The sequence below is a fragment of the Homo sapiens genome, chromosome 1 (genome assembly GCF_000001405.40).
Source record: "Homo sapiens chromosome 1, GRCh38.p14 Primary Assembly".
Taxonomy (NCBI): Eukaryota; Metazoa; Chordata; class Mammalia; order Primates; family Hominidae; genus Homo; species Homo sapiens.
Window position 1 is genome coordinate 4309749 of NC_000001.11, and position 16990 is coordinate 4326738.

A 16990-nucleotide genomic window follows, 5' to 3' on the forward strand; every position below is an offset into this window, starting at 1 on the left:
GGGCTACCGTCCTTTCTCAACCAAGCTGAGACCCAGAGGTTTCTCAAGGACTGGTGATGACACTGTCTGCCTGTCACTGAGTGTCCCCGGGGGGCTGCATGACAGAGCAGACTGCATGAGGGACAGACAGCAAGAGTGGCTCTTTGGGTGTCTGGGGGTGGGGCCATGACCTCTCAATGGATTTGGGGTAGGAGGGGTCCAAGGAGCCAGGGTCCTACGTCCCACTGGGACCCACCCAGAGGAAGGAGATATTGGAGGTGTCTTGCTGGTTCAGGATGCTTGCTGGCTGGGGCTCAGGGTGAGGCATGGAGCCAGTCCACCGTCTCGCTGGGACAGGTGGCCCGTCCCAACAAGAACAACAAACGTGTGGTCTGTGTTCCCTCAACCGTGTCCCTGCTGCACCTGGGCCAGCCACTGGCTCCCTTTTGAAACTCCTTCCTCCCCAGGGGCCTCCAGTGTCCCAGCAGTCCCTCTAGGAACCCTCCTCCAGTTCAGCTGTAGGACAGGGTGGGAAGCTGCCTGTTCTGGGGGGCTCAACTAGTGGTCCGCCTGAGAGTGAGTGGGACAGTCCAGCACGCTGCTTATTGTCAAATGCCATCAACAGGGCAACAGAGGAACTCTACTACAGCCATTCAATCCAAGGACACTTGCTGGGGACGGTGTGCACCCCAGGCATGGGCGTGGTGTGCTAGAGCTCCCAGTCTGGAGGGGGAGCGAAGCTCACACAGCCCTGTGGAAGCTGTAACACCCAATATTCACCTGACCCATTGTTCTGTAGGCCAGCACATCTCCTCCAAGCACCTGGTGCTGCGCGGGGGCTGTGTTTCTGCACCTTGGCCGCGCAGAACATAGCCTTTTCTGTGTTGAGAATCCCTGACCTGTGCTTCACCTCTGGAGCTACTGAGGCTTTTCCTGTTTGCATCTCAAGGCCTTGGGCAGGCACAGGTGGCACCTTTGGGAGGTGACAGCAATGGTGGCCAGGAGCGGGGCAGGGAGCAGGGGTGGTATTAGTGGGAGAACGGGCTGGGCTTGGGCTCACATCCTTACTCCACTTCATCTCTGAGTCTGTTGCCTCACCTTTAAAATGGGCAATCATAGTGATATTGCTGGCTGCTGTGGGATTCACACAAAGAAACAGAAAGCAGCCCAGCACCTGGAAGGAATGTGGAGGCTGACAGCTTGGTATCCGCATGTCTGCCTTGGGTTTTGGTTCTGCCACTGTGCACAGCTCGGGGGATCTCAGGGGAGTCACCGAGTCTCTCTGGGTCCAGGAAAACCCCTTGCTCCAAGGGCTTATGATAACACTACCTGGGGGTAATGCACACAGGCATGTTGCATCGTGCCAGGAAAAGTTGAGATGCTTAAGAAGGGGTAGATAGCTTCTGTGCTAGAATGATTCCTTCCTGTGTTCTGTTGTTATTTGCATACCGTTCTTCAGTTTGTTTCTAAGTTATTTTTTATTTTTTTGAGACAGAGTCTCTCTGTTGCCCAGGCTGGAGTGCAGTAGCACGATCTGAGCTCGCTGCAACCTCCGCCTCCTTGGCTCAAGCGATTCTCCTGCCTCAGCCTCCTAAGTAGCTGGGATTGCAGGTGCCTGCCACTACACCTGACTCACTTTTTCTATTTTTAGTAGGGATAGGGTTTCACTGTATTGGCCAGGTTGGTCTCAAACTCCTGGCCTCAAGTGATCTGCCCACCTCGGCCTCCCGAAGTGCTGGGATTACAGGCCATACCCAGCCTGTCTGTAAGTTATTTTAAACAGTGCTTTATGGGGGCATAGTCTCAATACTGTAAAATGCACAGTTTCAAATGAAACGTTAGTTGAATTTTGACAACGGAAACTTACCCAGATTGAGTGAACATTTTTATCATGCCAGAAAGACCCTGCCCTTGGCAGCCGTCTCCCCTCCCGACCTCCTCTGCAGGCAGCCATTGATCTGGCTTTCATCACCTTAGATTTGTCCCGCTTGTTCTTGAACTTCATAGAAATGGAATTGCACCGTCTGTAGTCTGTCTTGTCTGGCTTCCTTCATTCCACTCATGTTTTCAAGACTCATCCAAGTAGCTGCATGCATCAGCCATTTGTTCTTTCTTTTTCTCCTGCTTTCCTCCCCTTCTTTCTGAGTAGAATTTCATTGAACGGATATACTACAGTTTGTTGATCAATTCTGTTGTTGATGGGCGTTGGGGTTGTTCCTAGTTTTTGGCTACTACAAATAAAGTTGCTATGAACGTACATTCTTGGACAAGTATTTGGTGGGCCTATTTATCATTGTTATAGACCTAGAAGAATTGCTGGATCTTAGGGTAAATGTATGTTCAGCCATATAAGAAACTGTCAAAAAGCTTTCCAAAGTGGTGTAACCATCCCCACACATGCACCAGTAACGGGTAAGTATTCCAGCCTACCCACACCGTCGCCAGCTCTGTGGTTTTCGGGATTTGTAATTTTTGCCATTGTGGTGGTGTGTAGTGGTGTGTAGTGGTTCTTTACTGTGGTTTTAATTTGCATTTCTCTAACGGTCAGGGATGTTGAGCAACTTTTCCTGTGGTTGTTATGCATTCTGTTATTTTGTGTACTTGAAATAAGGTAGACTCAATCTTCCGACTTTATTCTTTTTTTCAATCATATCTTGACCACTTATTCTTGTTAAGTCTCTTACAGATTTAGAGGGAAGTTATCTCTTTATTATTGATTTGTGATAGACTTTTACATATATATCCAGGGTGTAGGCTTTTTGTCTGACATATATATTACAAATAACGGCTTTCACTCCATGGCTGATTTTGGTGCTGTCCTTTGATGAACAAAAGGCCTAAATTTATAAGAAATTGGTTTTTTTCCTTTAATGGGTAGAGCATTTGTGTCTTAAGGGATTAATTTGTGCCCCAAGACCTTAAAGATCCTCTTCTATGTTTTCTACTAGAGATTTATAGTCTTAACTTTCACATTTAAGCTTATGACCTATATTGAATTAATTTTTGTATATGGTATAAGGTAGGAGTGAATGATTATTTTTTCTCATGTAGATGTGCAGTTACTTACATATAACTTATCGAAAAGACGTTCCTTTGCCCATGGAATTGTTTTGGTGCCTTTTAAAAAACTAGTTCACACACACACACACACACACACATACATGCACAAATGCACACACACTTTTGGAGTCACTGCTCTGTTCCGTTGATCTATTTGTTTAATTCTTTTACTCATACTACACTATCTTAATTACTATAACTTTATAGTAAATCTTGAATTATGGTAGATTAAATCCTCTGACTTTATTTTATTTTTTTCAATAAGACCCTATTTATTCTTAGCCTTTTAAAATTTTCATTTAAATTAACTTGTCAATTCCTAACAAAAATTCTGCTGGAATTTTGATGAAAATCACAGTGAATCTGTAAGTCAACTTGTGGAGAATTGACTGCTTAGTAGTATAAACTCCTCCCATCCATGGTCTCTCTCCATATATTTAGGCCTTTAAAAATTTCTCTTAACACCATTTTGTGGTTTTAAACATACCAGTTTTATACACTTTTAAACTTATCATAACCGTGTTTATGGTTACACTTTTCCACAGGCTGTACAGGTGGCATGGCTGGGGAAAACTCAGGAAACTTACAATCATGGAGGAAGGTGAAGGGGAAGAAAGTACATCTTCATGTGGCCACAGGAGAGATAGAGGGAAAGTGCTACACATTTTACAACAATCAGATCTTCTGAGAACTCACTATCACAAGAACAGCAAGGGGGAAGTCCACCCCCATGATTCAGTCACCTCCCACCAACACTGGAATTACAATTCACCATGAGATTTGAGTGGGGACACAGAGCCAAACCATATCATTCTGCTCCTGGCTCTTCCTAATGTCATGTCCTTCTCACATTTTAAAATGCAATCATCCCTTCCCAACAGTCCCCCACAGTCTTAGCGCATTTCCACATTAACTCAAAATTCCAAGTCCAGTGTCTTATCTCAGACAAGGCAAATCCCTTCCTCTTATGAGTCTGTACAATAAAAAACAAGTTAGTTACTTCTGAGATACAATGGGGGTACAGGCATTGGGAAAATGCTCCCATTGCAAAAGGGAAAAATTAGCCAAAATAAAGGGGCTACAGGCCCTATGCAAGCCTGAAATCCAGCAGGGCAGTCATTAAATCTTAAACCTCCAAAATAATATCCTTTTACTCCATGTCTCACATCCAGGGCACACTGATGGAAGAGGTGGGCTCCCATGGCCTTGGGCAGCTCCTTAATGGGCTGACATTGAGTGCCTGCAGATTTTCCAGATGCATAGTGCAAGCTGTCAGTGGATCTACTATTCTGGGGTGTGGAGGACAGTGGCCCTCTTCCTACAGATCCACTAGGCAGTGCCCCAGTGGGGACTCTGAGTGGGAGCTCCAATCCTACATTTCACCTCTGCACTGCCCTAGCAGAGGTTCTCCATGAGGGCTCTGACCCTGCAGCAGACTTCTGCCTGGATATCTGCTCATTTCCATAATCCTCTGAAGTCTAGCTGGAGGCTCTCAAACTTCAACTCTTGCCCTCTGTGCACCTGCAGGCACAACACCACATGGAAGCTGCCAAGGCTTGGGGCTTGCACCCTCTGAAACAATGGCCCCAGCTGTACCTTAGTCCCTTTTAGCCACAGCTGAAGCTGGAGTGGTTGGGATGCAGGGCACCATGTCCTGAGGCTGCACAGAGCAGTGGGGCCCTGGGCCTGATCCACAAAACCATTTTTCCCATCTAGGCCTCCAGGCCTGTGATGGGAGGGGCTGCTGTGAAGGTTTCTGAAATGCCCTGGAGGCATTTTCCCCATTGTCTTGGCTATTAACATTTGGCTCCTCTTTACTTATGCAAATTTCTGCAGTCTTGAATTCCTACCCATAAAATGGATTTTTGTTTTCTACCACATGGTCAGGCTGCAAGTTCCCTAAACTTTTATGCCCTGCTTCACTTTTAAATATAAATTCCAGTGTCAGATCATCTCTTTGCTCATGAATATGAGCATACACTGTTAGAAGCAGCCAGGCCATGTCTTGAATGCTTTGCTGCTTAGAAATTTCTTTTGCCAGACACCCTAAATAATCTCTCTCAAGTTCAAAGTTCTACAGATCCCTAGAGCAGGGGCACAATGCCATCAGTCTCTTTGTTAGAGCATAGCAAGAGTGACCTTTACTCCAGTTCCCAATAAGTTCCTCATCTCCATCTGAGACTACCTCGTCCTGGACTTCACTGTCCGTATCACTATTAGCAGTTTGGTCACAACCATTCAACAAGTCTCTAGGAAGTTCCAAACTTTCCTTCATCTTCTTGTCTTCTTCTGAGCCCTACAATCTGTTCCAACCTCTGCCTGTTACCCAGTTCCAAGGTAACTTCCACATTTTCAGGTATCTATATAGTAATCCCTGACTCCTGGTATCAATTTTCTGTATTAGTCCGTTCTTTCACTGCTATATGGAACTACCTGAGACCGGGTAATTTATAAAGAGAAGAGATTTAATTGACTCACAGTTCCACAAGCTATACAGGCGGAATGGCCTCAGGAAACTTACAATCATGGCAGAAAGTGAAGGGGAAGCAAGCACATCTTCACGTGGCCAGAAAGAGAAAGAGAGAAAAGGGGGAAGTGCTGCATACTTTTACAACAACCAGATCTTGTGGAAAGTCACTATCATGAGGACAGCAAGGGGGAAGTCCACCCCCACGATTCAGTCACCTCCCATCAGGCCCTTCCTCTAACACTATAATTGTAATTCAACATGAAATTTGGATGGGGACACAGCCAAACCATATCACAGTTTAATCTTTTTCATCAAGAATCCTCATGGCTTGGACTTTGAGGTCATTGTTTGGCAAATATTTGCTCCTCTTCCCCTGTACTGTGAGTAGAGGGTACTTCCTTGCCCATGTAAAGTTGGGGTTGGCCACAAGACTTCCTTTTGCTAAAAGAAATGTGGTAGACCCAAGGCAAGCCAAGGCCATAAATGAGCTCGTGCTGTTTGGCTTCTTGCAATCTAGGGATCCTCATGGGAAGGGCTTCCCATGAAGCGTGGGCTTAGAAATGAACACATATGATTGAACTTGCATCCAATGTACAGTCTGCAGTTAATTCACCTGCATGAAGCAGAACATCAGAGCCACACATCTGGCTCTGCCTAGGTCAACCAAACCAACCAAACCTAGGTCAACCTGCGAAGCCATGAGCATCAGGGTATGTGCTAATTGCTGTAAGGCTCTGAGTTTTGGGATGGTTTGTCATGCAACATTTCTGTGGACATTGCTATTGCTGACAAATACAGCCACCATAGGATTAATACTTCTATTAGGCATTCAAAGCGATATGTCCTGGGGGAGTGAGGGAGCTGTATGAATCTGGAGGAACTTATAATCATGGGAGACATCAGCACATAAATTTGTGGGCCTGGATGAGACCACCAAGGCAGAGTGTGCATAGAGAGAAGACAGCTGGATTCAGAGCCCTGTCATGAGGGCTAGATGAAGAAGGTCTAGAAGAGCAAGCAGGTGAGTGATGGGAAAAATAGGTATGTGAATCTTTGCAGTCTCGAAGAAATTATTTCATAAAAGAAAAGGTGATCAACTGCATGAAAATTAAAGAAGCCCACCCCATGAGAACAAGCAGAGGCTTTCCATTCAGAGCTTGCTGTAGCAAAGGAGTTGACCACCATCACCTGCTTTTGGCAAAGACTCAAAGACAGGCAGAGGGATGGGAGAACTTTACAGTGGAAAACAGAGACAGCTTCAGGTGCATCCTGATTGGAGGCCATTGGCCTGGAGGAGCAGAAGGTGGGCTGAATAGATAGGGGCAGATGTCTTCTGTGATGGGTTTGGGGAACATAAGGGGCTTTCTCTACTTGGCCCTAAGTTGGAAAAGAGGCAAAAATTAGGGAAGCTGCAGTCATTGGCCAAGTCCTGACTGTTCTGCGCCAATGGCTGCAGAGCTGATGGGTTGGAGTGCCCTGGCTGTTTGTCTGTTCAGTCCCTCAACTGTATCAAAAGCTGTCCAAAGTTTGAGCAAAATGAGAAAAGAGCATTGGCAATGCCTGATCATTGGTGAGCCAGTGGGCAGTGGGAGGAAGGGAGCCTGGATGTGAGATAGAGAACACAGAAAATGGAGGGATGGCTGCAAAGGGGAGCAGTGTGAGTGGGTGGTGGCTGGAGGGGAACATGCAGTCAAGGGGTTCTGTACTTCTGTAGCCATTACTTTGGAATGGGCTATTCCAGCATATGTTTAGGCAGATGGGAATCATCCCCCAGGGAGGAAGAAATGGAAACGGCAAGAAGGAGAAGGAAAAGTGAGGATAAGAGAGGTGGGATTCAGAGTGTTGGGGGAACCTGGAGTGGGTTGAATAGGGCACCCTTGGAATCCATGGCCTCCCAGAACCTTAGAATGTGAGCTTATTTAGAAATAGTGTCTTTATAGATATTATTAGTTAAGGACCTTAAGATGAAATCATGCAGGATTATAGGATAGATAGAACCTTATAATGACTAATGTCATTATAAGAAGAGAAGACACAGAGAAGAAGGTGAGGTGCCGATGGGGTCGAAACTGGAGTGATGGTGTCTGTAAGCCAAGAAACAGCTAGGATGCAGGGATGGAGGGCTGCCACCAGGAGCCTGGGAGAGGCATAGCACAGAGTCTCCCTGCAGCCACCAGGAGGAACCAGCCCTCCCACACCTTGGTCTTGGACTTCTGGGTCTCTAGAATTGTGAGAGAATAAATGTATGCTGTTTAAAGCCACCCGGTTTGTGACAGTTTGTTATGGCAGCCCGATTCTGTCTCCCTCCCTGAATCCACCGGTGGCCCGGGTAGGAGTTAGAGGGGGAGGTGCCTTATCGCCATTGCTCACCGCTTCTCCTCATCTGTTGGGAAAGTGGGAGAGGAACTGGGTTTTCCAACATTTCATTTAAATCTGACACCAACTGGAGTTAGTATAGACTCAGAGTAGAGGACACAGTCCCACAAGACTGTCCCCCACTGCAGATACCAAGCACAAGTCCCAGGTTGTGACCTGTATGTACTTCTGATCCACCTGCATAAATGACCCCCTCCTTGGGTGTGAGAATTTACTACTAAGGCTCACAGAACTCAAGGAAACACTTACTTAGGTTTACCAGTTTACTGTTTAATAAAGGATAAGATAGATGAAGAGGGGCACAGGGCGAGGTCCAGAGGATCCCCATGCAGGAGCTTCTTTCCCTGCAGAGTTGGGGTGCACTCCCTCCCAGAGTGTGGACGTGTTCTTGTTCACCAGCCTGGAAGTTTCCCAAACTCTGCAGTTCAGGGATTTTCATCTCGTAAGCACGATTCATTATGAACTCCATCTCCAGCCTGTCTCTCCTCTCCACGCTGGTCTCTTGAGTGGCCAGCGCCCATCCAGGAACCCACAAAAAGTCACCTCATTACAACAGAAGACACTCCTGTCACCCAGGAAATTCCTAGGGATTTAGCAGCTCTGTGTCAGGAAACAGGGTCAAAGACCAAATAATAGAACAAAAGATTCTCCCAGCACCCCTGCTGCTCAAGAAATTCCAAGGGTTTTAGGAGCTGTGTGCATGGAACAGGGGGCAGAGACCAAATATACATATACATATACATATACATATACATATACATATACATATACATATACATATACATATACATATACATATACATTACATATACATTACATATACACATACACATACATATACTAATACATATACACGTGTGTTTATGTATAAATATATATTTTATACACACACACGCGCACACACACACACACTTTTTGAGATGTGGTCTCGCTCTGTCACCAGGCTGGAATGCAGTAGTGCCATCTCGGCTCACCGCAGCCTCTGCCTCCCCGGTTCAAGTGATTCTTCTGCCTCAGCCTCCTGAGTAGCTGGGACTACAGGCATGCACCACCACGCCCAGCTAATTTTTGTATTTTTAGTAGAGATGGGGTTTCACCATGTTGGCCAGGATGGCCTCCATCTCTTGACCTTGTGATCTGCCCGCCTCAACCTCCCAAAGTGCTGGGATTACAGGTGCGAGCCACCACACCTGGCCCAAATATACATATTTTTATGATGTCACAGCCACAAGGAGAATTTGCTGGGCAGGCCCTGCTCCTGGGGGAGGCCCGCCTGGCCTCGTGTGGGTTGAATCTGGGAGAGGATTAGGAAGCCCACACAGCCCCCATCTCGGCTTCACTGCCCCGTTGGCTCACTCTGCTTGGTGCCAGCTGTCACACTTGAGGTTTTGTTTCTTGGGCGATTCTAAATGTGGTGTCCCTTATTGGTCCCCAAAGCTATAGCACGAGGAGGGTCTGACACTCAGGGTGGGGAGCCTGGTGGCTGCCACCTAGACCACTCTGCCAGTTGGGGGCTTCCCCGAGCTCCCCCAGGCAAGTCTGGAGCTTGGGGATGGAATGGTGAGGGTGGGCTCTGGATGGGACCTTCCCCCACTAGCTCACCTTCTGTTCCATCTTTTATCCTCTCCAACCAGTGTACCTCAGCTTACTTTAACCTGCTCCTGTATTTCATTCTCTGGGCTTTTGCTCCAGCTGTTTCTCCCAGCTGGAAACTTTGCATGCATTTCTTTTCATTAAAGCCCAGCTCGAACCCACATCATCCAGAATGCCCCTTCTGCGCCACTGCATCCCCCGCCCCTGATCACCAGGATGCATACTGCACCCGCCGGCATTCACTCACCCTGGCCGTCTCTGATTTCACAGCTGTAGGCAAACATGGCAAAGATCCTCAAGGCCCTTCTTTTGTGTGGAAGTAATGAACTCTGTCAGGGAGCAAACTGTGGCCAGGGTTTTCTTAGGACCCCTGAGGAAACTTGTTCCCTCCTCAGTCCCTACCTAGTATGCCATGGGTTTCTACAAATGCTGGCAAATGCTTGCGAATGCAAATTTCCCTGACTTTTCATGGAATGCCACTTGTCAGCCTCGTGGAAATTTGGAAAGCATCTCATGCAGGCAAATCAACTGCCTGAATCTCAGTTAAAAACAATTCTGCATGTTAGGGCTGGTCTTGTAATCAACACTGCCCAGACCTGCCTCTATGCAGTCCCCAGCAAGCCCACTTCCCACATCAGCTTCTTCCACATTGTTCTGCATCTGTTGAGGATAAAGGATGAAGGGCGTTCATTTCCTGGGGAATTTTCTGCAACTTCCAGAGCTTTGGTCTGCAAGTTTCAGCCACCAAATAAAACAATGATATTTGGGACAACTACCCCCCACCTCTCCCCTTCCACCAAGTCAAAAGAGGATCTTGCTGACAACTGTGTGGAAAGAAGCAAGTTTTGTCCCCTAGACAGGTAACGGGGCTGAGACTGCCTCCTGGCCATTGCCGCCTGTGGCTGAGTCCTTGTTCTTCAACCTCTCAGGAGTGAGTAGGGGATGCAACCCTGAGTTCATTCAGTCAACAAATATGTATTGACTATTTCAAGATGACTAATTATCCAGGTGGGCCCACAAGTAAGGCAGTTTCCTGGTACGGGAAACTTTGAGTGCCCAACCTGGGAAATTGCACCCAAACCAGGCTTAGTTGCTCACCCTAGAGAGTTATAGCAGGTGGGGGGCTAGGGAGGCCCTCCCCACAAGGAGCTCATAGTCTATGGAAAAAGAGAGATGTGAAAATAAGTAGCTCTCAACTTCCAGTTGCCATCTGTGCTCCTAGAGAAAAGTTGGTTTGTAACTGGGGCCATGTAATGAGAACTATCCAGTCAGTACTCAAAGGTTTCCCACGGGTCCACAGAGTCAGAGGCTCCCCCGGTGCCTGTGTGTGTGCATGTATGTACGCATACCTATGTGTGTGTGCCTGCATATGTGAGCATGGAGCACATCCTCCTGGTTCATTATTTCACAGAGGTGAGGGAGTTAATTCCACTGCCCTGCCCTGAAAGGGAAAGAACTGGGAAGAGGAGCTCAGCTTCCAACCTGCCCAGGAGTGATCCCTGATTGGAAGGGATGTGTGTGTGTATGTGTAGCTCTTCCCTTCCTCTCCCATACCATGGGGGCTGGCCTGGAGAGTGTGCCTTGGTCTTCCTTCCCACTGTGCTACTGTGCTGTGGGAGCTGATTTGGGGAGGGGGTTGCAGTCGCCTTCAGAGCTGGCAGCTTGTTGGGGTGTCTGTACAATTCGGGAGCCCCATTGAGGCCACACAGCTGGCTTGGTGGGTCTCCTAGCTTTTATCAGGGATACCTACCTGACTCCTGTCTTTCTCAATTGATCTTTCAAATGTTGGGTCAGGGAAAAGGGATTGTATTGGCCTCTTAAAACCTCAACATGAAAAAAACCAAAAACTCAAATGTAAATTATCTGTTTGGAGTACACAGAGGGAAATCTTGTTTCTGACCCAGAACCTTTGTCTGAGCCCAGAGGTCCCTGAGAAGGTGGGGCTGGTGCAGGGTGATGCTGGTTGGTTGGTTGAGGGGGTAGAGCTTCTTGGGGTAGAGCTTTTTTTGGGGTTGAGGTTATTTGGGCCTAAGGCCATGTATTCATTCTCATGCTGCTAATAAGAACATACCCAAGAGTGGGTAGTTTATAAAGGAAAGAGGTTTAATTGACTCACAGTTACGCATGGCTGGAGAGGCCTCAGGAAACTTACAATTATGGTGGAAGGGAAAGCAAACATGTCCTTCTTCACATGGCAGCAGCAAGGAGAAGTGTTGAGCACAGTTGGGGGAAAGCCCCTTATAAAACCATCAGATCTCATGAGAAGTCACTCACTATCATGAGAACAGCATGAGGGTAGCCACCCCCATGATTCAACTGCCTCTTACCATGCCCCTCCCATGACACATGGGGATTATGGGAACTAGAGTTCAAGATTAAATTTGGATGGGGACACAACCAAACCATATCAAACTGAGGTGTAGCTGGTTGGGGGTGGGGCTGTTTAGGGTGGGGCTAGTTGGAGTGTGGGTTTGGTTGGGGGTGAGGCTGGTGCAGGGGTGTCCTCACTAATATAACTTTACCCTTGCTACCTCCTGGGACCTCCTGGAGAGCTAGGGCCACATTTGAATATCTTTATCTCCCCTAGGCCAACTGTTTCTGAAACACAGGAGGCATATGATGTATTTTGAATTATTATTCTGGAATTTTAAATGTTTTCTTTGAAGTCATACAGCCATCTGTCAGCCTTTTTTTTTCTCTCTCTCTGTTTGTCTACCCTTCTGTCTCTGTGTCAGCATCCCTGGAGGTCAGAGCAGGGCAGGGGAGGCGGTGTACCCTTCCATCCTCACAAGGCTTTGGGCCAAGTGAAACCCCCTCCCTCGGAGGCCCCCCTTCTGGGACTACACCTTCCACCTGAATCTTGTGCCAGCAACAGAACTTCTTCCTGCCTTTCCAGGGGGCAGTAACTAGGTTTGCATCTGATGGTGGTCAGTAAAAGAGATAAAGGACGCAGGGCCACTGTTTGGAAAACAACCCATGGAAGGACCCCCCACCCAACCCCATTGATTCACCTACCTCTCCAGCCACCCACCCTCCTTCCCTCATAATAATCTCCTCCCAGATGAAGGAGCTTTCAGAGAGCCAAAAGGGAAGGTGGAAGACACAGTCTCTTTTGGTGGACACGGGGAAGCAAGATGAAAAAAACCACAGGACCTAGTAAGGTACCGTCAAGATCCACCCAGCCACCTCCCCTCCCACCAGAAGTGATTGAAGCCCCTCTTCCTGGCTCTTAGAGAACCGCAGGGGACCCGGAGCAGACAGCAGGCCTTTCTGATGCTTAAAGTTTTAGCATTTAGGACAATGCCCTGTGCTTATCCTCTGTACACCCCTAGCTTCCTGGCCATCTTTGGAGTTCATTCATTCATTCATTCACTCACTCATTCAACAAATCTCCACTGAACATCAACAGTGTCACTGGCACTGCTCCGAAAGCAGGGGATAAACTGATGAGCAAAACAGACCAAACTGCACCTCCAAGGACCTTTTAGCCAGGGGAGGAGAGTCTGGCAGTTGGAAAGCGTGTCCACAGTCCCCAGGGAACCAGGAACCACGTCCTGGGGAGCAGGGAGCTTGTGGAAGAACTGAAGCTCAGTAAACAGGTGACTGAGGTGGGGGCACCACGGGGTCAGAGTCTGCAGGGCAGTCACCGCTGGACATGGTTGAGGAATAACGGAGGAGACTCCAGGCATGAGCGAGTAGGGGTACTTGTGACACAGGTGGTTCAAAATCAGCATGGAGCGGGGACTCAGAGCAAGGGTGTGAGCCGTCAGACTGGGCCCTCCAGGGGTGACTTCGTTCCCTATCTCCTTTCGCGTCTGAGCCCTCCCCACAAAACTGGTTCTGCTTGGCACCCTGCCCTGTGCCTGAAGCTAAGCCTCAAAGTGGCCTCCTGGGCTGGAGCCAGGGGTAAGGGAAAATCAAGAATTTGACTTTGAAGCAGGCAAGGGGCAGGGAAGCAGCTGTGTACAGAAGTGTGGGATTTCTTCCTTTTCCTTGCATCCAGCCCTTCTTGCTACTGTCTGGGCACACCCCAGGCATCTTGGTGCAGCCCACAGGGCCCTCTGGAGCCTGGTCCCTGGAGACCCTCTGTCCCCATCTCCTGCCACCCAGTGATTCCTTCATCACAGCCTCTGCCTGTTCAGTGTTCTGCACCCAGGTCTCAAATCCCATTGCACTGCCCCCCAGAACCTCATTAGAGTACAGGTCTCCTGCAGGAAGCTGTCCTCTGTCCTCCTGCTGAGGGTCCCTACTGCTTTAGGGCCCACCGTAGTATTTCACAATCACTTGATCTCGCCTATCACACTATTGGCTTCTTCAGGGATGGACCCAGCCTTTTCATCTTGTGACCCCAAGATTTTTCCCTGTGTCCTGCATGGGGTTGGTTCTCCAAATAGGACTGCGGAGGGGATATGCAAATATCAACCAACCTTTGAAGCACGCTTCACTAAATAAAAGGAGTGGGAAATGGCACTGGGAAAATGAGTATCTTGGGGGATTGAGCCAAAAAGACATCAGAAATCAGCTCCAAGAAGGAGCCAGGAAAGGGATGGAGTGGCTGGCCTGGAGTGGCTGGCTTGGAGTGGCCTAAAGTGAACAGATTCTGTAAGCCACAGCCACAACTCTGCGTTTATCTTTATGGTGAATATCAGGCACCTGAGAAAGGAGAAGGCGCTTTGTAAGTCTCTTCATTTTCCCCTCTATTTTTAGCAAGGTAGAATTGTTATGGATTTAATGGGGGGAATAAATACTGCCCTTCACCATCCCAGGTACTAGTTCTGTTAATAATTTTTCAAGCGGAGAATAAAGAGGAGCCGTGTAAAAATAGTTACATCCTAATTTGGCCTGATTTCAAATTATCTAATTAGAGAAAGTCCGGAGTTTCTTATTTTTAAAAGTGTTTACTCAGGATATTTCCAGCTAGTGGGGGAAATGAACAGAAGAAGTGCAGGGCAGGGCACAGCAAGGTGGGTCTGCGGCGGCGATGACCTGGAACGGCTGAGGCCAATCACAGGAATCACCCAGAGGATGCCTGGGGACCGGTCAGGGGCGCCCGTTTCCACTCAACCCACAGCTAACTGCGGCAGTGACACCACGCTGATTTGCTTCATTGAAGATGAACATTTATGATACCAGCACCTCCTACAACCTTTTCTTCATTGTTCTGTGTAACATGGACCATTTTCTCTCCAACGTTGCCCTTCTTGAGAGAAGGGTGATAAATACGTTGAAGCCCAATTGTCTTTATTATTCACAAGGTGAAAGTCCTTTCCTGGTACCACTGTCAGGCTCTCCACCTCCAAACATCAATCACTCTCCATCCCCACCCTGCCCGTCTTCCAGGTCATTAGTGAAGGGCTGTGTCTCCTCACTCAGCCTCAGAGTCAAAACTCGGCACTGCAGCGTGCTGGTGTCTGGCCCCGCGAAAGTGGTGAGAGTGATGTGAGGATGTGTGGCCTCATGGTTAGACGGTGGGGTGCTGAGCTCCATGCATCGCTCTGTGTGAGTGGACGGACCCCAGAGAAGGCAATACAGTAGGGAGGCTGTGGCCACAGTGTGGTGAGGTCATACTGACTGTTCCCTCAAGCCCCTAGAAGCTGGTTTTGCAGGATTAATCATCTAACTTATTCAACAAACCTTCATTGAACACCCATGTGGTGACTTAGACTGAATCACAGTGACCGAGTCCTGTCTTTACAGGGCTCACAATTGTCTGGGAGAAGGTGGGCAGAGCAAAAATTCATAAGAAAACAGGACAGAGTGGAGGAGCTTGACTACGGGACAGCTTCAGATTGGGAGCGGGATTCAGAGGAGACATGTCAGCAGGAACTCGAATGAGCAGAAGGAGGTGGCCAGGGAGATGCTGGGTCCTTCTCTGAGGTTGAGAACTTCATGTGAAGCTTTATGGTATACTTGGCGTTTCTTTAATTTTGGAGGCACAGCTCAGATCCGAGTTGGAATCATATCTCTGGAGCAATCAGAGCTCAATACAGTCTCCATCTCCTGGGCTCAAGAAATTCTCTTGCTTTAGCCTCCAAAGTAGCTGGAACTACAGGCACATGCCACCTTGACCAGCTATTTTAAAAACATTTTTGCAGAGCTGAGTTCTCACTATGTTTCCCAGGCTGGTCTTGAACTCCTGAGCCCCAGCGATCCTCCTGCCTTGGCCTCCCAAAGGACTGGGATTACAGGCATGAACCCCATGCTCAGCCCTCTCTCCTCTTTCGTTGTGAGACCTTGGGCAAATCCCAGCATCTGCCTGGGTCTCAATCTTCTCACCTATAAAATGGGTTTAATGGTCTCGTTTGCTGAGTTGCCAGGTCTATTGCAAGAATCAAATGAGTGGAAGTGTGTAAAATGCTCGGCAGTTGGCAAATCCTCGTGAAGGATAACATGTCCTGGGTCAGTCCCCAAAAGTAGGCCCTGAGATAAGGACTTGGGTCTTCCAGGAGAAACCAGTAAGAGAGTTGATGTGAGAAGAACATGACTTAAAAAAAAAAAGGGGAGGAGCACAGGGACAATTTTGGGCAAAATCCAGCCTCAGGCTGCCCCTGCAGGGAGCTCCGGGGTGTAGGTTGTCCCTCTGCATTTATCCCTATTAGAAGCGAGAGAGCTGTGCTGTTCTATTCCTGCACCGGCCAGCCCTTGACCTAGGCAATTGTGGGGTTGAAGTGGAGGTTGAGGGGGAAGAAAGTAAATTTCTGGACATTCCGGCTCACTGATTTGTAGGAGAAGCAGTCCCAGCAGCCTTTGGTGTAAGCCTAATATATGTGTATATATACATATATATATATATATATATTTTTTTTTTTTTCGAGACAGAGTCTCGTTCTGTTGCCCAGGCTGGAGTGCAGTGCTGTGATCTTGGCTCACTGCAACCTCTGCCTTCTGGGTTCAAGCGATTCTCCTGCCTCAGCCTCCCGAGTATCTGGGATTACAGGCGTGCATGACCATGCCTGGCTAATTTTTTGTAGTTTTAGTAGAGACGGGGTTTCACCATGTTGGTCAGGCTGGTCTCAAACTCCTGGCCTCAGGTGATCCACCCACCTCGGCCTCCCAAAGTGCTGGGATTGCAGGCGTGAGCCGTCGTGCCTGGCTGTAAGCCCAATATTATGTGCTACCTTAATATCTGAAATGAGAAGGCCTCAAATGGCCTAACAGCAAGCTCCCTGCCCCGATTCTACTCCCCCAGATAAGACCCCCCAGCCAAACCACACCCTTTATCTTTGCCTGTTTATCCTGGAGGAGTGTGCTTCAGTTTCTTGCCAGATGCAGGACTCTTGAAATAAGGAAATCACATTCTCCCATGGGAATCAGGGGATTCAGTCTTTTGATACAGCAAAGGCCACCTCCCACAGCCAGGGCCAGTTCACTCTGTACCCAGTGCAGTCTCTGTGTGGGCCTCTGTGGGCAGGGACCCCACACCTGGGCTGTGAGTACACGACACTGTTAAGCTGCTACCATTTCATCCGCCCAGTGTCAGGTGTGTGTTCAGCCAGCCCCATAACCCTAGGA

The 16990-nt window shown here is 48.2% G+C and overlaps 2 annotated features.

The window, feature by feature from the left end:
• Positions 363 to 422: a silencer, noted in NCBI's record as "silent region_132". NCBI's record gives its function as "represses an Ori minimal core promoter by ATAC-STARR-seq in GM12878 lymphoblastoid cells {active_cell/tissue: GM12878}" and the evidence as "EXISTENCE:reporter gene assay evidence [ECO:0000049][PMID:35858748]".
• Positions 7751 to 7920: an enhancer, noted in NCBI's record as "experimental_8096 CRE fragment used in MPRA reporter constructs". NCBI's record gives its function as "activates a minimal promoter by MPRAs in K562 erythroleukemia cells, with activity observed for both the introgressed and non-introgressed 1:4377644 variant alleles {active_cell/tissue: K562}" and the evidence as "EXISTENCE:reporter gene assay evidence [ECO:0000049][PMID:34662402]".